Source organism: Homo sapiens, chromosome 6 (genome assembly GCF_000001405.40).
Source record: "Homo sapiens chromosome 6, GRCh38.p14 Primary Assembly".
NCBI classification, from domain to species: domain Eukaryota; kingdom Metazoa; phylum Chordata; class Mammalia; order Primates; family Hominidae; genus Homo; species Homo sapiens.
Genome location: NC_000006.12, coordinates 159,798,615 through 159,821,025, shown reverse-complemented (window position 1 = coordinate 159,821,025; position 22,411 = coordinate 159,798,615). Strand labels below are relative to the sequence as shown.

Below are 22,411 nucleotides of genomic sequence, written 5' to 3'. Positions count from 1 at the left end.
GCGGGTCATTGTTTCTAAATGCACGTGGATGTCTTACGGTTTATAACACTTGTCAAAAATGTCCCCAGTGCACACGACTTCCCCTCTTCCAAGCTTCACATCCTTCCTTTACTAAACTTAGGAAGGCCATTTCTCAGAACTAAGTCAACAACAGCCAATAATAAGCCATTAGTTTTTCCCCCAGAAATAACGTCCCCTTTTCTTCATCTGGTGTCCAGCTCCTAGCACAATGACCTGCTCCTGAGACATTAGCTTAAATCTCGAGGTGCTGACTGCTCCGCCTGCATTTATAGCAAGAAAAGTTCTGACCACACATACAGGTACGATATCTAAGGACTGATTTATCATTGAGAGTGTTGACAGAATTTCACGTTCAGGACATAACAGAATTTCTAGAAAAGACCAAACAGATCCATCTGCAAACAGAATCTGATTTACACGAACACACCCAGCACACCTCCCAGAGAGCATGGGGACCCGAGGGTGGCCGCAGGAGGCCTCGCTGCACTCAGGTACCAGATCTTCCAAGGATGAACGCGAGAAGGGCCCAGGCAGTCACTATGCCACAGACTCTGCAAGACAATGACACGTGTCAGTGGCCGGGGCACCCAGCAGGCCGAGAGGCACCGACACAGGCTTGCCCCTCCTCCTTCCCAGCCCCGTGCACTCAGATGTTCTTTCTTGCTGTCACTCTCCCGACGACAACACTGAACTTCTGCCTCTCGAGGTTAGGCTGGCTCTGGGATGCAAACCGCAGGTTGAAAGAAAAAGGGTTTGCCTCGGAGCTCACTGTGCTTCCTCAGCAATGCTGTTTTCTAACGGATGTGCCCCTAACCCGCAAGCCAGAACCTCACCCAGCTCAACTGACAGCAACTCTGCCTTTCCAGCTGTTCAGGACTCAAACCCTGGATTCGTACTTGATCCTTCTCTGGTCTGTCGCTGACTCCACCCCGCTGCCCCTGGCTGCACCGAGCTGTGACCCAGCTGAAGCATCTCCTTCCTGACTGCTCTCACAGCGTCTCGCCTCCACAGTCTACCCCAACACGGAAGACAACCTGAGTCGGGTTATAGACCTTCTTGCTGTAACTTCCGCGATTCCCTCTCTCCTGAGAGAAGCCCACGTCCTCCCTGGGTGGCCCCCAGCTGGGGGGCACTGGTTCCTTCTCCTGCATCCCCCTCCTTGCTGTTTTGCTCACAATGGCCTCTCCCCGTGACACTCCGGGCACCTCCTGACTGGAAGGCTCCGTCCTGCTGCCCCCTCCGCCTGGCTCACTCCAAGTCTCTAATGAAGACCCCCATCAGCTCCTTTGAACTGCAGCCTGCCACCCACTCCTGACCCTTCTCTCATTTTTAATAAACACTTGTCACCCAACACATTATAGGGTCCATTTGTTTATCCTGTTTGTCTCCCCCAGCACGTGAGCTCCACGAGAGCAGGGATTTTCTGCTTCACTGACGAGGCCCTAGAACTACGATGGTGCCCAGCACAGCAGGTGCTCGACAGACACGCGGCATCACTGAAGGACATTCAGGGCACCACACTCGTCAACACAACCCCCTTGGCAACACACACCAGCAAGTGAGCTGTGCTCGAGTCAGACCATGCTGGGATGCTGGGACCCCGGGCACTCCAGGACCCCAGGACAGGCAGGTGGCCTCAGCCTGTCACTTACTGGAGCAGGCAGTTGACGTTTGGGGAGTGCCTCCAGTAGCGGTACAGGGAGATGCACAGGGTCGGGTGGTCCCGGTACTCCTTCAGGATGTTCCGCGCACTGCCAAAACAAGTTTGCTGTGGTCAGCCAGGCAGCAGGATGGCGCCGCCTGCTGTGATCAGGCGGGTGGAGTCAGAGAGATACAGGGATGAACGCACGAGGGGTGGGGGACGCGGACTTAGAGGCACCTACTCCTTAAACTTATTGGTCAGGAGTAAGAACTGGCTTCTTGTGAGTCGCCTGACATCAAACTTGCAGAGATTCTGAAACTTATGGTAGACTTGCTGCTCGCTGACCCCAGGCCACCTTTTGACGCTGAGGATGAGGATGGGAGGTCGGATACTGGGATAATCTGGACCAGAAAAATTCTAGAAAACATGCAGAACACAAGAGATTTTCCACAGTTCTTCCTGACTTCTTATCCAGTCTGAAGATCTCAAAAGAAACTAGGAAAGGCTCTGCTTGGGGCAGGGAGGGGAAGAGAAGGAAGGATGAGTCCATGTTGGCTTTAGTGGAGAAACATGAGAGGAAAGAAAAACCCAGCTCTCATCTCACCGACCACCGAAATCCCTCTCACGAGTCCCAGAGAGCACTGGCCGCTTCCCAGCAAAGCCTCTGAACTCTGAATGGGGCGAGGGGGCCAAATGAGATCTACTCACGATCTTTGGGACCCCCGCTCGGATGAGGTTCACTTGGTTCACGTAAGGAGCCAGCACGTCAAGGTACTGAGGAAAGGATGACTCGGGCACGGGGTCGATGCTGCAAGGACAGAAAACCCCAAAGCTGTCGGGCGCACAGAAGTTCATCCACTTCCTCGGCCACAGCCAAGAATCCGGTGACAGAACAGAAGGACACTCCCTCGGACGGCTCTCCCTCCCTCCTGCCCTCACAAGTCTTGGGGCTCTGGTTGGGTGCTTCCCCAGCTGGCAAGTCTAAAAGCATTCTCCGTGGCCACATAGAAGAAGAGCTTCCAGACAGTCACCATCTGCTGGTGATGGTTTGGTGAGGGTCCCACTGGTGACAAACAGCAATAGGCTCAGAGAATCAGTGCGAGGCCACTATTCAGAGAAAGCCCCATGCTGTCCCCCCTTGGTAAGACATCACCTTTGATTCCAAAAGGGCATCCCTCATCCCACAGCCTCCTCCCACTGCCAGTGCCCCCTCTGTCCAGGGAGCACACACACCTGAGCGCAGGGCCCCGGCAAAACCACGGGCCACACAGACAGGCAGGGAGGGCTTTTAGGCCATGAGGATTAAAAGAAATAAAAGATGTGTGACACCAGGCACTGAGGTGCCCCACCACTGCTAGCTCCTTCACTGTCCAGCACACACGTACTTACCAGGGGGCCCTTTAACAGTCAAACCACAAGAGAGGGGGTTAGGCTGGCACATTTAAGAAATAAGCTTCCCATCCGTGTGTCACAGAACTTTTGTATTTATAACATCCACTGCTAAAATGGACAAATATAGGCAGTACCCAAGTTAATAGATCATAGTCCAAAAAGATATTTCTACATCAATCCCAAAGCACACATTAGAATTTTGATGGGCTCCTTCACCTGGCTGGCTAAGTCCTACTTAACTAACGTGCATGCCAAGGACGGTGCTGTAGCGTGCACGCTGCTAATGTGTTTCTGGTGCCTACGTGCCCAGGGCTGCAGGCATCAAAGATGGTGTTGCCATGGGGAAATGCACTGAAGATTCCAATGTGGGGTTCCACTAATCTCTCCCTAGCCTATGTGCCCCCAACAAAGGATATGTCATTCATTGACCTGAACACTTTCTCCTCATACCTCACTGTTGCTTACATGGCTATAAGAAAGCAAGTGAGAGACAATCAAGCACACACCAGGCTGGGAAGGACTGAGACAGGTGTCAGAACCTAAGCCTAACCCCACTGCCTTGGCCTCCTGACATCTGCGGGGATGAGGGGGCCAGGACCCATACAGGCAGGCACAGGGGTGGTAGGAAGGGCTACTCCTGTGGCACAGAGCCATTTGTGGGCTGCTGCCCAGTCAGGGACAAGATTTCTATACCAGTGACACCTCACATTCTCCCTTCTTTGGTAGAACCCTGGGACTGGAGAGGTGTTGGCTTCCAGCAAGGGCTCAATAAATCCTGACCACCGATTGAACAGTAGGATGAAAAGAAAGAACACTTACTGGTATATCTTCTGTAGAAGCAAGTGTGCCACTTTCAAAAGAACTAGGAAGGAAAAAAGACAGAAATGCAATAGAGCTTATCAAAATGTGCATGCTTATGCTTTATCTCATTATGTGCAAGCCAATCTGAAATAAATGTAGAATCTAGGGACGGCAGGGGCATACTGCCAACAAAAAGTAAGTCTCCAGCTGGGTGTGGTGGCTCATGCCTGTAATCCCAGCACCTTGGGAGGCCGAGGCGGGTGGATTGCTTGAACCCAGGAGTTTGAGACCAGCCTGGGCAGCATGGTGAAACCCCATCTCTACAAAAAATACAAAAATTAGCCAGGTGTGGTGGCATGCACCTGTATTCCCAGCCAGGCATGGTGGCATGCACCTGTAGTCCCAGCTACTCGGGAAGCTGAGGTGGGAGGATCACCTGAGCCCAGGAGGTAGAGGCTGCAGTGAGCCGAGATCCTCACCACTGTACTCTAGCCTGGGCAACAGAGTGAGACCCTGTCTCAGAAAAAAAAAAAAAAAAAGTGAGTTTCCTTTTAAAGGAACCGCAATCCTTACCTGACCCACAGAGGAAGGCATCATACGCGGCTTCGTGGGGGCACTTTGTCTCAACTGAGGCATTTTCCACCAGGAGGACAGAGAATTGAGCAGTCATTAGAAACACGCCCCATCCTAGCTCACCATCCACAGTGGCTGCAGCTCATACAACCTCCCATGGTCCTGCATACCCTTCTCCAGGCCCACACACCAACTTCACCTTGGTCCTCCCCACGGTGGAGAAAGCCCCAAGATCAGAGCTGCCTTATAGACTAAGGACCACATTAAGGAGGAAATGGACAACTCCCAGGGCTCTTGGATGCATTCTGGGCTCGCTCATTTGGGGCAGGAGTTACATGGAGTAAGCAGAGTGAAGGAAAACCCCACACAAACCTCCCCCTCCCCTGCTGCCTGGGGCGGGGCAGGGGGAGAGGTGGGGGGGAGGGGAGGGGTGTGGGGGGGTGGGGAGGGGTGTGGCGGGTGGGTGGGGAGGGGTGTGGGGGAACCAGGGTCAAGGACAAGCTCAGCTGAGCACCTCAGCACTCTGCCGACTGTGCAAGGATTATGGGCTCATGGGAACGTACCATATTTCTCACACCTGCTCGCGTGAACAATCTCTGGTCCAGAATTCTTGGTGGGATTCAAGTCACTATTGGAAAAGAAAAATAGAATAAAAAACAATTTGCTGAAAGTAATCCCTTCTTGTATTCCCCCTCAGTCCCTTAAGTTAATATAAATTTTTTAAATGTACTGAGGACATATCTTTAAGGTGCAAATCTAAGCATGGACAGGTAAGATCTTAGTAACTGGGCAACAGGAAAGGGGAAAGAACAATGGTGCAGGAGGCCCCAGTGGAGTTACTCCAGGCATTTATCAAATGCTTCACTTGAGCCCAGGCACCAAGATAGACAAGATACTGTCTCTGTCCTCCGGAGCTGTCTAGTGGCCTGTCTAGCGACTACGGAGACAATTATGCCTGCCTCTTGTAAATGCAAGGCCTGAGGCATGACAGTCACGCCAGGACCCTGCAGGCTTCTGGAGGCAGACAGCACTCATGGAGAGTCCCAAACCACATGATCCAATGGAGTTCAAGGAATGGGGAGACGGCAGGCATTTCGAGCAGGCAAAGACAGTGAGGAAAAGGAGGAGGTCTGACCCCAGAAGCAGTGAGCTGAGAAGTGGGGCTGAAGCCTTTGTGTGAAGGGAGGGCCAAGAGGGTGGGGAGGAGCCCCTACAACAGGCAGGGGCTTCAGAAACCACAGAAAGACTGATCAGAAAAAAGAGCCCATTCAAATTCACATTCTAGATCATCACTCAAGGGGCGGTGTGGGGTATGAAGAGGGCAGGCCACAAGGCTGGGACACCACTCAGGGGCTACTACCACAGTTCCTTGGTTGGAATGAAAAGACAATAATCCTGAGAATGCAGAGAAAGGAGAGGTTTGAGAGACTTACAGGGTCAAGTCCATAAAACTTGACTCAACAGATGTGAGCAACTCAGCTCTGTGACCCCTTCTAGGTCTTGGCTCCAGGACCTGGGTGAATGGAGATGGTGTGTGACAAGGAAACCTTTGCTTCACTGGTTTTCAATAAGATGTTCTGGAACCTCACGTGCTTAGCCTCCTGACCCCTAATGTCCCCATCTGTAAAACAGGCGTCGTCGTCGTGGGTGTGCCATGAGCTGTCCTTTAGGATTGGGATAGTTGTCAACAGCAGCTAAGGTTCAACAGACCTGGACTACATGCAAGGGGCTGTTCTAAGTCCTTCCACATCTACAAACTCATTTAATCCTCACAACAACCTTGGAGTTACACACTATTTTCTCATCTCACAGATAGTTAAACTGAGGCACAGAGAGATTAAGTAATTCTCTCAAGGTCACTCACAGAACCAGTGAGTGGCAAAGCTGGGATTTAAACCCAGGAAGCCTGGAATCAGAGCCTGTGCATTTACAACAAAGCTCTCTCCCCGCTTTGCCCTCTCATGCACACACAGCCCTCAGTATCATGCCTGGTACCATCAAGACTTCTGAATTTGCAGGCACTAGAGTGTGCTTGAGGGACAGAGAGGAGGGTCAAGTTGAAGGTGCCCATAGGTCATGTAGGGTGGGAACATCAAGAAGACAGCTGGTAAACGCAGTGTCCTAGATGCTGAGGTCTGGACCGCAGCGGTACACAGGAGCTGGGAGTTGAAGCCCAGGGGGTGGATGAGGCCACATGGGAGCCTAGGAATGAGCAGGAACACGGTTGAGGAGGGGCCCTTGAGAGAAAACGTAGGAGACAGGTAGAGAACACGAATCACAAGGAATGGGTTTTAAAAAATCGCACACACACATCCAGAACAGGGTGCCATCCCTGTTCCAAACGCCTCTCGTGCCTCGTCCTGCTGACTGGGGACAGACTGGCGGCTCTGGGTGCCCCTGCGGAGAGCAGAGTGAAGGAGACAAGGCCCTGCCTGCCGTGGGCTGAGGAAAGAGGAGCATAGAGAGTTCAGGAGGCTTTGTCGTTAAGTTGGGAGAACACTTGTTGATGTGGAAGGAAATGAGAGGGAGACAGAAAGAGGTGGAGACACCCCGGGAAGGGGCAGGTAGGGGTGGGGAGTTGCTGAGCAGGGGTGAAGGTGACGAGTAGGTGGCAGCTCCTCCTGCCTGGCCTTGCACAGGGAAGGTGCTCCATTTGCTGGTGACAGGGGCGAGACAATGAAAAAGGGGACAGTAATCGCGCAACTGTTTGAGGGGCAGGGGTTGAGAGATTTCCTGTCTCTGGCTTCTCTCTCTTTGGAAACGGAGGCAAGAGGGTCATCGGAGGAAGGGGGCCATGAAGCAGGAGGAGCTGGAGGAGACCAAGTCCCAAGCAGGCATCACTGTGAATGGTGGGCACGCCTAGAGAGCCCAAAGGCCTGCGGAGCACAGGGAGGCCACCAAGGCCGCTCCAGCAGTAGCTCCAGGAATCGCCGTCCTCACCTGTTCAGGACTTCATAGACTTCCGAAAGATTCGACACCCTCGGGAAATTCATCTCCTACAATCATGGAAAACAAACCAGAGGAAAACATTTGCGCTTTTGTTTATTCTCTGTTTCAGGCAGTACCAAATGGTCATTAAAATGGCCTGGAAAATGCTCACTCCTACAACCTCCTCTTTCTCTTCAAATGGTGCAACCATCCTTATTCCTTAGTTAGGATGTCAGGGTACGCAGTATTCCTGGGTTTCCTAGAAGGACTCTCAAAAACCTAGGCTAGAAAAAAACTCTACACACACTATCTCCCTTAGAAAATGTGTTCAACAGATTACCCATAAACACAGGAAAGCAAGGCACGAGGACAAAGGCCAGGGACATACATGGAGCATACAGGCATTCTAAGGCCTAGAGGGCTTTGGGGCAATGCCTGGTTACTAAATCCTAAAAGTTCATAGTAGCTGGAAATACACCAACTACAAATAATAACAGCCTCTGGGCAAAGACAGACCACAGACCCCACTCCCATCTGTGCGGCATCCTTGCTGGATAATTCACTTGTAAGGGATCACTCTAAGGCTTCACAAGATTGATCTGATGCCCCCTTCTCTGTTCTTCAGTTGTTGTTTTTTTTCCCCTTGAGACAGGGTCTTCCTCTGTTGCCCAGGCTGGAATACAGGGGTGCAATCTCGGCTCACTGCAATCTCCACTTCCCGGGCTTTAAGTGATCCTCCCACTTACGCCTCCCAAGTAGCCAGGACTGGAGGTGTGCACCAACATGCCCAGGTAATTTTTGTATTTTTTGTAGAGATGGAGTTTCACCCATGTTGCTCAGACTAGTCTCAAATTCCTGGGCTCAAGCCATTCACCCACCTCAGCCTCCCAAAATGCTGGGATTACAGGTGTGAGCCACTGTGCCTGGCTATTCTCAGCTTCGTTTCTAAGCAGCATTTAAACCAGTCAGGTCGCTTTTCTCTATGCATAGTACACAGCCTCGACTCCACAACAGAATCACCCAGGGAGCTTTAGAAATACCACCTGGCCCCACTCTAGGTCAGACAAAAAGCTGCCAGTGCAGCCTGGCTATCAGCATTTTCAACTTTCCACGTGATTCCAACATGTTTTCAGGACTGAGAACCCATGACTGGAGGGCTCAATGAAGAAGAGGTTTTCTCAAGATTCTTCAGGAGGGAACCCCCTCCCCCCCAGTGCTCTGTACACATGTTGCAAATATTCCTAAGGCATGCATCAAGTTCTAAAATAAGTTGTTCTGTTGTCTGATCTAAATAAGCACAAAAACTCTACACAAATAAGTCAAAATGTGGAAACTGGAGGGAGAGAAAGGGAATAAGTCATATATAAGCTAATACAATGATGCACAGGTGCCAAAATACAAAAGGAAACTGATACTGGTTTGAAGAGAGAAAAGCAATCAAGGAACAACTTTAAAAAACACAAGTGGCAGGCCGGGCGCAGTGGCTCACCCCTGTAATCCCAGCACTTTGGGAGGCCGAGGCGGGTGGATCATGAGGTCAGGAGATCAAGACGATCCTGGCTAACATGGTGAAACCCCGTCTTTACTAAAAATACAAAAAAATTAGCAGGGCATGGTGGTGCGCACCTGTAATCCCAGCTACTCAGGAGGCTGAGGCAGGAGAATCGCTTGAACAAGGGAGTCAAAGGTTGCAGTGAGCTGAGATCGCGCCATTGCACTCCAGCCTGGCTTTGAGAGCAAGACTCCCTCTCAAACAAAACAAAACAAAACAAAACAAAACAAAAAAAACAAAAAAACACAAGAAAAAAACCCCACAAGAGAAAGCTAAGTGTTACTGGTATGGAAAAAGCAGTTCTTAACCCAAAGCAGTTCTATTCATTACCTTCCAGATATCCTTTGTTACACTCTTGGTATCAATGAGAACAGGAAATAGGCTGTGGATATTCTGCTTAAATTGATCGTAGCTTTCTGAGGGGAAAAACCCAGGTAGTCAAGAGTGAATTTGTTTGTTGGCAAAAATGGGAAGGAACATTCTTGAACCTAGCTTGCCACTGGCACTGATTAATAAAGCAAACTGAAACAAAACAGGAATTGAAAACACCATTAATCCTAGCCACTAAGGATTTCTAAACTCAGATCAAGCTGCCATCACCACTTTTAATAGTAAAGGCCGAACGGTTTTCTATTAAATTCAGGATGCATTCTATTGCCAACCGTAGTTAATGTAGTTTGCGAAGCTCTAGCCGATGGGATAAGACTTAAAAATAGAAGTATTATCAGAAAGGCAGACATGATATCATTTGTAAATAATTGCTCAGAGAAAAATCCAAGAAAAAAAATCAAAAATTATAACTAGTAAAGTGTCCTGATAAAAGAAAATTTATGCAAGAACTCAGTTGGTAAAGTTATCAGTTATACCTGCACCTAAAGAGGTTTATTGCAAAACACACACACTAAAAACAAAACCCTGTGATCTCTTCCCGCTACTCTCCCATTTCCTACTCCCCAAAGGCAACCACTCGCAGTTCTTTTCCTTTTGGTATTTATTCCCATCTCTCTCGCACATGCATGGTGTGGTGTTAGACACCTCACTCCCGACCTCCCACCGGCTGAGAGGGTGATGACCCCTCTCATTCCACCTCCACACACATGCCCGTATCGCCCCACGCGCGTCATTCACAAAAGGCTCTGTGGTGGCTACAATGACTTCTCCTTTCTTGCACAGCTTTTGTTCTCCCAGCGCTTATTTTGTTGTACTTAGTTTTTTGGTGAATGTGTATTATTAATTTCACTGCTAATTCTCCAACTCTCTCAATATGCCCAAACTCAGGTGTTTCATTGTTTCTTGGGGAAATGGCTCCTAAAACTTTCTTACCCCTCGTAATCTAGACTAGTGTTCTTTGTACGTTTATTAATTCATTTAATCTCACAACTCTGATATTGGCACTATTATCCCAATCTTACAATTAAGGTAATGTCAACTCGCTGGAGACTACGCACGTAGTGAGTGTGGGATGGATGAGATCACCAAGGCTCGAGGCCCCACTTTACCCACTAGGCTGCACCACTGAATGTCCAATAATGGAATCAACCATGAAACAGTAGGGGACAGCCAGAAGACAGTGTCACATGACACTGAAGCAGCATTTATTAGGTTTTTAACAACATAAAATAATGCTTTGGGTAAGTGGAAAAAAAGCCAAACAAAAATCAAATAGTGTAATCAAATATGTAAAAATTCAGGATACTAGCTGATTAAAGGTGACTTCTGACTTCATGCATTTCTGATTTTGCCAAGCTTCATACAATAACTCTGAACAGCTTCAGTAATGGGGAGAGGGGTATCAATTCAAATTTAAATTTTTTCCCCCTTGACAAAGTCTCCTGGTTTTCCACTCTGGGGAGACAGTAACAGATCAGAGTACAGGCCTCTGCCCAAACTCTCCAGAAACCTGCAGACACTGGGGAGGAATGGGCATTTTAGGAGCTGCCTCAGGGGTATGATTGTGTACCAATCCCTCTGCCAGATGGCAAACTAGCGTGAAGGAAGAGAAATGACAGGTTTGCCCCTACCTGGGAGGGGTCTGAAGAACTTCTCATGGAGGTGCAGCAGGTCCATCATCATATTATGTCCCACTAAGGGCTACTTGGAGTAAATCAACAGGTGAGAGAAAATAAAAAAATGTAATCCAGACACTACAGACTAACAGTTTCTTGCAAAAGATATAGTGTTAGAACCCACTGCAATTCTGATCACTTGACAGTTCCATCCTAACCTTCCTTTGCCTCTGTGAAAGGTAGTTCAACCGCTTAAATGCCAACAAAAAGAAAAAAGAAAACAATTCACAAGTAGGAGGCACGTAAGGCAGGGTCTGCGCTGGAAACCTATACTGTGAAGCAGGCACTTGCAGTTTCCCCAAAGAGTCTTAGGTCAGTTAGTACTGAAATTCCTGTGTTACGGAAAGGAGCAGAGAAGTCGTACTGTTTCTTATGGATACTCTTGCCCCAAATTAACCTATCATGATTTGGTGAAAGCAAGGTTAGATCCAGGAAGCTAGTTATAAATGAGAAGGAAGGCCAGGTGCAGTGGCTCATGCCTATAATCCCACCATTTTAGGAGGCCAAGGCAGGCAGATTACTTGATCCCAGGAGTTCGAGACCACTCTGGGCAACACTGCGAGATCCCGTCTCTACCAAAAAAAAAAAAAAAAAAAAAATTAGCCAGGTATGGTGGCATGTGCCTGTAGTCCCAGCTACTCAGGAAGCTGAGGTATGAGTTTCACTTAAGCCTGGGAGGTCAAGGCTGCAGTGAACCGTGTTCATGCCACTGCACTCCTTCCTGCCTGGGTGACAGGTGAGACCCTATCTGAAAGTAAAACATGAAAAAATTCATGAGAAGGAATCACTTATCTCAAAGAATTTTATCTTGTTGTTGAAGGAGCCTTTAGTATCTATGACCAGAAATACTAAAGACTGCCTTTAGGCCAAGAAAAGAGACATGTTTTCCTACCTTCTGGGCTTTCACCAGCATTTGGAAAAAGACAGAAAAACCCCTTGCTGAGAGAAGAATATTTTCCTTCCAACAGCTCTCTCGGTCACAAGAGGTGTTCTGAAGATACCAACGATGTTGTTTACTCACTTTCTTCACTACCACCTGAAAAGCAGGGACAAATTCCCTGAATCCTGGGTTACTAGGAATGAGGCCTAAAGAAATGGCTCTGCATCTCTAAACAAAAGGAAAGGGGGAAAAACTAGCAGCGTGCAAGATAAAAGCTTTTCAGAGGCCAGATTTGGCCAATTATGAGAGAGAAACAATGGAGCCACTGATGCCCCGTTCGCAGTGAGAACTCACCCCCTCATCTTTCAGCACCGTCCAGATGTTGGGGAGGGCCTGCCTCAGCACCAGTTGGACCTCAAAGGCCTGGAAGCCTGCAGCAGGGAAACACAGGGGCACACAGCACCTGGAACCGTGTGGCATGTTCCCCACAAGAGAAGCCCTGGAGGAGCAGAAGCTGAGATGGAAAGGTCAAGTGGAAAGGGAGCTTGAAGGGTGCCCAAGCCCATGAGCCATGTGGCAGGGCCTGGCCTGTCATGATGGGATCTGGGGCAGCATTCTAAGAGTTTTTTTTTTTTTTTTTTATCTCAGGGCCACTCTTAAGTTGGGGATGCCATAGAGCTTGTGTTTATGTGAGTTACAGCTATTGATATTAAACATGTTAGAAATTAAAACTCTTACATTTAAAGAAGTTTTTTAAGTAACAAAAACCCATTATACATGAACAAAAATAACACTTATAAAAAATAACTATTTTCTAAAACAAAAACTTAGCGAGAAGAGTGACACTGTTCTACATTTTTGCAAATCTCTAATATTTGGCTGGAATGTTGTATCGGCATTTGCATCCAATCTGTTGATATGTTGTGATCATTGAAACATAAGAAAATCCAGCCTCACGGCTGGGCGCAGTGGCTCATGCCTGTAATCCCAGCACTTTTGGAGGCTGAGGAGGGCGGATCACCTGAGGTCAGGAGTTCGAGACCAACCTGGCCAACACGGTGAAACCCTGACTCTACTAAAAATACAGAAATTAGCCAGGCATGGTGGCAGATGCCTGTAATCCCAGCTACTCAGGAGGCTGAGGCAGGAGAATCCCTTGAACCCGGGAGGCGGAGGTTGTAGTGAGCCAAGATGGTGCCACTGCACTCCAGCTTGGGCAACAGAGTAAGACTCCTTCTCAAAAAAAAAAAAGAAAAAAAAAATCCAGCCTCAAGCAGATGTGTAGGTGGAAAAGGGAACAGAATTACTAGCCTTATCAAATGACTTTGGATATTCTTTAAAACTGTACCAAACTCAACAAGTGGTAGTTTCTTAAAGATTAATTGCACTGTGGAATCTGAAACCATCATTAATGAGTTTTATTGTACTGCTACATTACAATCCACTGGCCTATCTCACACCTAGAATAGATCTCTTATCTATGAGATAAGATAGCGCACAATAGTAACATTATGTGCTAGTAATCTGGAAAATGCTGGTTGGCAGGGTTATGTAGGTCTCCCAAATGTTTGCACATTTTATTACACAATACCAACAGAAGACATTGGAAAATATGATCACTGATCTCATCAGAAAGGTTGTGGTACTGGGAAGCTGTCAAGCTTACGGTGGCACATGTAAATTCTTCAAAATTCCAGTTGATTGAAAGCTGTAATTTTATCACTAGGAAATACTGCGAGTTATCTTCCTTGAAGTGACAGGCTTTTTTTTTTCCTTTGAAACAGAGTCTCATTGTGTTGCTCAGGCTGGAGTGCAGTGGCATCATCTTAGCTCATTGCCTTGGCCTCCCAAAATGCTGGGATTACAAGCATGAGTCACTGTACCTGGCCAACAAGCTCTTTTCATTGAGAAAATGATTGTGAAACCTTCAAGTCTAAGCAACCAATCAGTTCTTTCCAGTAAAAATGATATTTCATGGGGCCGGGTGCGGTGGCTCATGCCTGTTATCCCACCACTTTGGGAGGCCAAGGTGGGAGGATCACCTGAGGTCAAGAGTTTGAGACTAACCTGGCCAACATGGTTAAACCCCATCTCTACTAAAAATGCAAAAATTAGCCGGGCATGGTGGCAGGCACCTGTAATCCCAGCTACTCAGGAGGCTGAGGCAGGACAATCACTTGAACCCGGGAGGCGGAGATTGCAGTGAGCTGAAATCGTGCCATTGCACTCCAGCCCAGGCAACAAGAGCAAAACTATATCTTCAAAAAAAAAAAAAAAAAAAAGGCAGCTAATTCAGCTCTCAAAAGACTGCACAAGCACTTTTCCTTGACACAATCACTGTATTTTGGCACACACCTAAGGAATGTTTTATGCATACTTATTTTTTACATACCTATATTGACATATATTTAAAAGATGAGTAATCAAAAGATTGAGATTTAATACAACCAAGAATATTACTTTTTAATCAAGGAGGCTGCTACTAAGATTGGCCTTTCCGTTTTTAACTGAGAGTAAGTGGTAATGAAGAACACGGTATGATGCTCCTGCCTTAATGTGTGCTGAGATGCCAGCAGCTTTGTCCGACATCGCTTGGGCACCAATGCAAATGGCACAATGACAATAGCAAGTACAGCTGAGGGATACTTGGAAAACCGTTTTGACCTCACATATCCATTGGAAAGGGTCCCAGAGACTCTAGGATCCATAGACCAGCCTCTGAGAGCTGCTAAGCTATGGCGTGTTCACTGTGGCTCCACACCACATGCTGGGGGAAAAGCTTAGTGATTAACAAAAGTCAAGATAATACAGGGCACCCAGGACTGAAATAAAAGGAATGGCTCAGGAATGGAACTTGACCTTCTCAGCCTTGAAACCCAAAGTATGTCGAAAGCCTTCAACGTGTGAATGCAGGTCAGAACTTTAACCACAAAGACTCCGTAACCGCCAAACAAATGCTTGCATCAGACTCAGTCATGAGGCACTTGGGACCAGGATCCCAAGAAAGGGTGTGTTTCCCCCAACTCCTGGCAGGTGACAGTGACCTGTCCCAATGCTCCTGCGTTGGGAGGAACAGGCCCTGCCTACCAGTGATCCCAGGAAGAGTCATCCAGTCGCCTTCCTTGGCCAGCTCCAGCCACCGCGTCACTTCGTCAATCACCACCTTGATTTGGTCTTTATCCGGAGAGCTGAAAATGGGCGCATGAAAGTGAACATGTCAGAGAAAAACACTTCAGAACCGCAAGACTATGTTAACATGAGAGCAGTTTCTGAACCCTCTGGTTTTCATGTTGCAATATACAAAGAAAATGTACCAAAAGAAGACGATTTCTTCTCTGAGGCTCTTATGCAATAGGAAGCCAAACAATTGGAAGAATAGCCCACAACCTTCCATAGGATCCAGGCATATATTCAATCCCCTCCTGCTTCACTAGGATGTATGGAGGAAAAGCTATTGGTATCTAGCCAATACCAAGCATTGCTATCAGGACCGTCTTCTTTATTCAGCTTTCAGGGGTGATAAAGTCTCTATCTGGGATAATCAGGAAAAGACAAGGACTTTGGTAAACACATTGCCTCTTGCATCAGAAACAGAACCTAACATCATTTTGAGATAAGGAAAGGCCTTTCTCCAACTCTTGAAAATGAAAGAAGGTTAAAAATTCAACTTGTTTTTCCCTTACAAAAAGCTACATTTTTATATGAAAACCAGCAGGAAAAATACAAAGAGACAAAAATTCCTCCAACATAACAGAATTATCTGGAAGAGATCATCACTCATCGCATTTCAGATGTTCATTTAATCTCCCCCTTCCTGATAAAGGCAAAGAGCTTCCATACCTTGTTCAAACCCACACCTAGCTGATAGCACTTGGCTCCAGGTGAGGGTACCAGCCCCAAGGCCCCCGGTCCGTCTACCCACAATGCTGTTGCTCTCGCTGTGGTCACTCCTGACCCCAGCTCTACAGGAATACGAGGTTTTGGAGACTGGGGCTGGCACAGACAGCCAAAGTAAAAAGGCAGAGGTCCCGGCCTAGGGGAGCAGGGTCAGGCACAGCAGGGCAGACACAGCCTAACCAAGGCACACATCTGAAGTCAGTGCCCAGTATGATTGGCACAGTCAAGGTTGCCCGAGAGATATCCTTGAAAAATCCCTCAGAAGATCACATGGGGGATCAACATAACATCTCACAGCAAGTCCAACAGAACGATTTCTTCCCCTCTAGCACTGGAATGGAATTCTTGTTTCTTTGAGTTCCAAATTAGGAGTCAGTTTCTTTTTCTTTTTAAACACTGAAACTCACACTCAACGCAGTGAGAGGTTCATTAGGGAGTGGAACATGATGGAGACAGGTGAAAGCCATTCTCAGTTGGGGCACAGGGAGAGCAGCGCCAGCTGCACAGGCAGCTGAAGCCATCCCCGCCAAGCATGGATGGAGGTCACCACACTCCTGGAAACGGCACGCCCGCCCACGGGAAATGCAGACAACAGCAACAAGGAAACAAAAAGGCACCTGGAGAAACAGGCCATACCTGCGAACTCTCCAGTTCCCAGTCAGGATATCGTGTCTAATTTTCTTCTCCTGTTCTTCATTCATATATGGGATTCCGTTTTTGAGAAACTTAAGACAGAAACAGAACAACAAACAGAACAAGGAGACAAGTCAGAGGGATCCTCTGTGCCTGATTTCACGAGGACAGGTAGAAAGGGGAAAGGAGACGGGCTGTATAAGCCAGTTCGTCTAGATCACTTGTAAGACATTCCCAGGCCGGGTGCGGTGGCTCATGCCTATAACCCCAGCACTTTGGGAGGCCGAGGCAGGTGGATTGCCTGAGGCTAGGAGTTCAAGACCAGCCTGACCAACATGGTGAAACCCCGTCTCTACTAAAAATACAAAAAGAATTAGCTGGGCATGGTGGCGGGTGCCTGTAATCCCAGCTACTTGGGAGGCTGAAGCAGGAAAATCACTTGAACCCGGGAGGCGAAGATTGCACCACTGCACTCCAGCCTGGGCAACAGAGCGAGACTCCATCTCAGAAACAAACAAAAGACATTCCCGTTCCCCTCCTCCAATGCCATACCTTGTTATAGTTGAAGCCATACTGATTCAAAAACTGAACACTGGAAGCCTGGAAGGAGAATTCTGAGTCCAAAATCCCAAACGTTGTAGGGAAGAGATAGAAGTTACAAGAATGGGCTATATACCTATAATAAAACAAACATACAGAGAAAAAGCCACAACCATTTAAAAAACTCTGGCTCCCAGGGCTGGCTTCAGGGTGGGCTCTTTCTTTTAGGCAAGAAGAATCTGAGTGTGCCCGAGTGTCTGCTGTGTTTCAGGAGCTATGATTGGCACTGGGGGTGCTAAATGAAAAAGGCAGAGAGCCTGCCTTCAGGGCCAGCGTATACCACAGAGACAGCCCCTCCACAAGCTGCCCAGGGATGCCAGGTTAGGGCGTGCAGGCTGGCACCCTCAACTGCTCATGGGGGGTGGGGAGGCATCCTGATAGTTGGGGCATCCTTTCTGCCTACTGTGTCAGGTAGTTTAAACATCACTTTCATTACACCACACTGTGTCAGGCGCTTTTATTAATATAGGTGCACACTGGAGACAATGGAAATGGGGAAAGGAGCACTTAAGGTACAGAGCAAGGCTGGCGGGAAAGGTACTGCTTCCAGAGAGACATCAAAGACAAGCTGGAATCCGCAGAGGGCAGAGTGAGTGGAGGAACAGACACAGGAGAGAATACGGAAGATCCAGGGCAAAAGTGATCGGGGCACCTGAGGCAGAATTTGAAGGTGGCAGCTGTGGAACATAGGTGGGAAGCACCTATGTTTGCAGAAGCTCTTGATACATACTTGTTTGCCTCTCCTTCAATAGCGGAAAACACAGACAATCCTGGAAGAATGACCGTAGAGGGAATGAATGCCAAGGAAAAGCAACCTGAATTTCACTACAAAGACAAAAACAACTCAAACAGTACTTTGCGCCCACAGATACTATGTGGGCTGTACAACAGGATAACATCTTTAATGACAAAAAAGAAAAGACAGACTGGAAGCATGAGAAATGTCAAATTGTAATTCACACTGAATTTGCTAAAATCTAATTGTGGCCTGTTCTTCAAATACAGAAGTAAATATTAAAATGACATTCTCATAGTTTTAAAACTATCCACAGAAAATACCAAAAACCATTAAGATTTATATATTTAACTCATTTAAAATGTCTATTCCTCCCCCCTCAAAGAAAACCATATGCAAAGTTAAAAAAAAAAAAGACTTCAGGCCAGGTGCGGTGGCTTATGCCTGTAATCCCAACACTTTGGGAGACCTAGGCAGGTGGATCACTTGAGGTCAGGAATTCGAGACCAGCCTGACCAACATGGTGAAACCCTGTCTCTACTAAAAATACAAAAATTAGCTAGGTGTGGTGGCGCGCACCTGTAATCCCAGCTACTCAGGAGGCTGAGGCAGGAGAATTGCTTGGGCCTGGGAGGCAAGGGTGTTGCAGGGAGCCAAGATCGTGCCCCTGCACTCCAGCCTGGGCAACAGAGCAAGACTCTGTCCCCCTTCCCCCCAAACAAATTTGGGTACAACAATGGAAACATAACTACAACTGTTTCCTATACTTCTCAAAGAGGTCTTATAATTAAAAACAAACAAACGAACAAAAAAAAAACCATAACAGAAAAGTAGCAAAGGATCAGGATAGAGAGGAAAACACACACACGTTCAGCATCATTCATAGTAAAAGCAGGGGCTGGGCGTGGCAGCACTCCCAGCTACTTCAGAAGCTGAGACTGGAGGATCTCCAGAGCCCAAAAGTTTGAGCCCAGCCTGGGCAACACAGCAAAAACCCAATGGTGCGGGAGAGGGCACAGACAAACCCAGAAAAGTAAAATCTGGCCCAGGGTCTGTTTCTGTAAATACAATAACATTTTACTGGAATGGAGCCATGCTCATTTGTTCATGTATTCTCTACAGCTAATTTCACATTACAAAAGCAGGATTGAGTAGCTGTAAAAGAAACAGCATTACGCAACCGTTAACAGCTCTGTCTTGACCAGCCTGGCCAACATGGTGAAACCCCATCGCTACTAAAAATACAAAAATTAGCCAGGCCTGGTGGCAATTGCCTGTAATCCCAGCTGCTCTGGAGGCTGAGGCAGGAGAATCACCCGAACCTGGGTGGTGGAGGTTGCGGTGAGCCCACATCGCGCTACTGCACTCCAGCCTGGGCAACAGAGCGAGACTCCATCTCAGAAAATAAACTAATAACTAAATCAACAAATAGATCTGTATGAACCGATACAGAAAGATCTCCAAATCCCATCAAGGAAAAAAAAAAAGTTTCTGAAACTGAGATGACCTTAAAAAAAATTATTTTTGTGTGTAAATTTTCTTAAGAAAAAAAAATCACAGGCCAGGTGTGGTTGCTCACGCTTATAATTCCATCACTTTGAGAGGCAGAGGCAGAAAGATTGCTCGAGCCCAGGAAGTCAAGAACAGCCTGGCCAACATGACGAAAACCCATCTGAACAAAAAATTTAAAAATTAGCTAGGTGTGGTGGTGAGCCTGTAGTCCCAGTTTACTCAGGAGGCTGACGTGCTAGTATCACTTGAGCCCAGGAAGTCTAGGCTGCAGTGAGCTAAGACTATGCTACTGCACTCCAGTCTTGGTGACAGAGCAAGACCCTGTCTCAAAAAATAAAATAAAAATCGCACACACACAGTTTTACTTGAAAGAGTAACAGTGAGTGTTCCTTAATACTGACTTATTTAAGCACGGAAACAATGCTGCTAAATTTGGTTTGCTCCGAAGTGTTGATTTCCATATGTATACAATGGCCCAACACAAAACAAGCATACAAAACGATACTCAATATCCTTGAAAAATCTCAGAGCTGTTTTTACAGTAGGAAATCCAAGGACAATAAAAATACCTTCTTGAAAAACTCTAACAGCTGATATTAAACTCACCAATCTGACAGACTGTAAATTGCTGAACACTCTGACGGGTCTTTAGATACCACTCCGATGGCAAATCAAAAAGACTGTGAACAAACAGGCATCTCATTCCACGAGCAATGACATCCCATCCCGGCACTATGGCCTCCGCGGCAGGACCACCACTCGCAACCGGGGAGGATTTTTTCCTTGTTACAACAACTAGGGAGCACTACCATCATTTAGTGGACAGAAAAAAGCAAGGTCCTCCAACACGTAGGAGCAAGCCACACAAAACGTCCTGCCCCCCAAATGCCAACAGGCTGCTGGCCAGAAACAGTGCTGGTCTGGCCAGGCTCTTATACAGAGGGGACACAGCTTTAGTTTTACCTGATCTGCTGGGGCCCAGACAGGTTAGAACGAAGGCCCGTGAACTCTATGTCCAGACCTGCCAGGAAGGCAAAAAATAGCAGTCCTCGGGTGCAGAACATCGCCAGCACTCCTCACACTGTAGATCTGCAGGCGGCCAAGGCACCCGCGCTCACCTCTGCGCTCAAGAAGCCAAGTGAGGTCAGGAAGGGAAAATGGAGGAACCAAGGCAAGGAGCAGCCAGGCACCTGGGCGCACGGGGCTCTGGCCAACAAGGGACGTGGGGCTCGGAGTGTACTTGCTGCTCAAAGTCCCACCGCCCCGGGGCTGGAGAAGGAAGCCCCCCTGTCCTTCCCGAGGCCCTCTCTGAGGCCCTGTGGCCTGGCAACCGTCCCGCCACCCCCTCCTCAAGCTCGCCCGGGGCAAGGGGCTCTGTCCGGCACAGCCGCGAATCCCAGGCTCTTCACCCACGAAGTCGGCCTCCTGGACGAGCTCCTGCAGCAGAGGGAGGCTCTCCTCGAACTCGTCGGCGCCCACGTCCATGGCCGTGCAGCTCCGCGGAGTCGCCCAGCGCTATCACGTGCTGCCCACGTGCTGCCCACGCGCTTCCGTCGCGCCGCCGGGTCTTAAAGGGCGCACACATGGAAACCAGGCAGCTGCCTCCGCCCCACGTGCCCAGCTTCCCCGTGTGCTGCTGGCGTCGCCCACACCTGCCTGCGGGTGTTTTAATTGTACGATTTGCTACAGAGGTTTGATTGCAATTGCAATCAAAGCCTGTTTACCTGGCTCCTCAGCAATTTCTTTGCAGCCCTTAACGTGAGAATGTCATTTACATGGACTTAGAATGTTAAGAGGCGTGGCAGGAGACGAAGACAGAGTCCAGAAAGGGTGAAATCAGAAAAGCGGAGCAGGAACAACACCGGACGCAACTGCAATAAGCAGATCCTTTGCTGCGGCTCACGGTCTTCTAAATCACCTCTTCCCAACTTCTCCATCACTGCCAGTATGTCTGTCCCCATTCCCTCTCCCACGCCCCTGGACATCTTTTTCCTCATTCTGCTGTCCACCTTACCACTGTCTTCACACCTGCAATCAAACTTTGCAAAGCCTCAAGAACTGCCCATTAAATTGAAGGAATCCTTGGTCCCCAGGGATTATCTCGTGCACTCACTCCTTGCGGAAATCCCTACCTACATCATCACATACATGTGAGCTTAATTTTTACTTTTGTTACTGTTTCCAGTGCAACTAGTCCATGGTCTTCCTTACAGTGTCCTCCCTTGAATTCTAGGCTTCTACTTGAACAGCGTTTTGGAACTATGGTCCTCAAAGTGAGGTGCTCAAATCAATCTTTAAGGTTAGCGGAGAAAACATTACCGTTATACTTTATTTTTTCCTTTTGAGACAGTCTCACTCTGTCACCCAGGCTGGAGTGCAGTGGTGCCATCTCGGCTCTCTGCAATCTCCACCTCCTGAGTTCAAGCGATTCTCCCGCCTCAGCCTCTGAACAGCTGGGATTACAGGCATGCACCACCACGCCCAACTCATTTTTGTTTTTAGTAGAGATAGGGTTAAACCGTATTGGCCAGGCTGGTCTCGAATTCCTGGCCTCAAGTGATCCACCTGCTTCAGCCTCCTAAAGTGGTGGGATTAGAGGTGTGAGGCACTGCATCCGATCTTCAATTATACTTTTAAATGCCTCTCCGGGACATTAATTAAGCAAAAGGGGACTATTAAGCCATTTGATTCTGAAGACCTCTCAGAACAAATCATACTTCATACAGATGTGTTCCATTTAAAATAACACATTGAATACTCAAATTGGCAGAAGTAACATATTTCACTTCTAAACAAACATTTAATTGGGGTATACATTAAAAAAACTGGAAAACAATGCTCTAGAAGCCACCTTAACTGCCTACAGGTTTTTTCTCACATTTATCAAATAGCCAAAAATTAACACCTTAATCAGCTCCTTTCAGAGAACTGCCATGATTCCCATCTACCCAAGCTCAAATTTTAGATTAACTTGCATGCATTTCAAGTTTCATCTCCTATCTAATAAAATGTTCACTTCATGGCAAATTGAGCGCCCACTAACCCCAACCATTTCCACCTCTGCTTTCAGCTCCTGATGCCACCTCCTTCCTCTTTCAAATTTGTTTCTCTTACTGTTGGGAACCAAGAGTCCAAGTGAGGTTGGCATTTGGTCCTTTCATTTTCACATACTGACTGT

At 47.8% G+C, this 22,411-nt stretch overlaps 1 protein-coding gene across 10 annotated transcripts, besides 1 other annotated feature; it reads right to left on the bottom strand.

Annotated features, from left to right (window-relative positions):
• Positions 1–321: 321 nt before the first annotated feature.
• Positions 322–21,571, bottom strand: PNLDC1 (PARN like ribonuclease domain containing exonuclease 1). Of its 10 annotated transcripts, none has more exons than XM_017010312.3 (19): positions 20,647–21,567; positions 20,197–20,254; positions 19,840–19,913; positions 17,716–17,755; positions 16,938–17,061; positions 16,389–16,477; positions 14,943–15,043; positions 12,210–12,286; positions 11,868–12,011; positions 10,931–11,000; positions 9,240–9,325; positions 7,370–7,425; positions 4,993–5,057; positions 4,430–4,483; positions 3,875–3,917; positions 2,372–2,471; positions 1,905–2,080; positions 1,674–1,772; positions 322–572 (listed from the first exon to the last, which is right to left on the bottom strand). In XM_017010312.3, exons 1-19 carry the CDS (start codon positions 20,816–20,818, stop codon positions 509–511), a joined length of 1,692 nt encoding a protein of 563 aa, XP_016865801.1. In that variant the 5' UTR covers positions 20,819–21,567; the 3' UTR covers positions 322–508. The 10 variants fall into 10 exon arrangements, with proteins under 10 accessions (XP_016865801.1, NP_775787.1, XP_011533793.1 ...); NM_173516.3 differs by having other exon boundaries at positions 20,197–20,353; positions 20,643–20,750; XM_011535491.3 differs by having other exon boundaries at positions 20,197–20,322; positions 20,643–20,750.
• Positions 1,092–1,818: an enhancer, noted in NCBI's record as "H3K4me1 hESC enhancer chr6:160240240-160240966 (GRCh37/hg19 assembly coordinates)". NCBI's record gives its function as "activates a minimal SCP1, AML or CMV promoter by ChIP-STARR-seq in naive H9 embryonic stem cells {active_cell/tissue: H9 hESC(naive)}" and the evidence as "EXISTENCE:reporter gene assay evidence [ECO:0000049][PMID:30033119]".
• Positions 21,572–22,411: the final 840 nt, after the last annotated feature.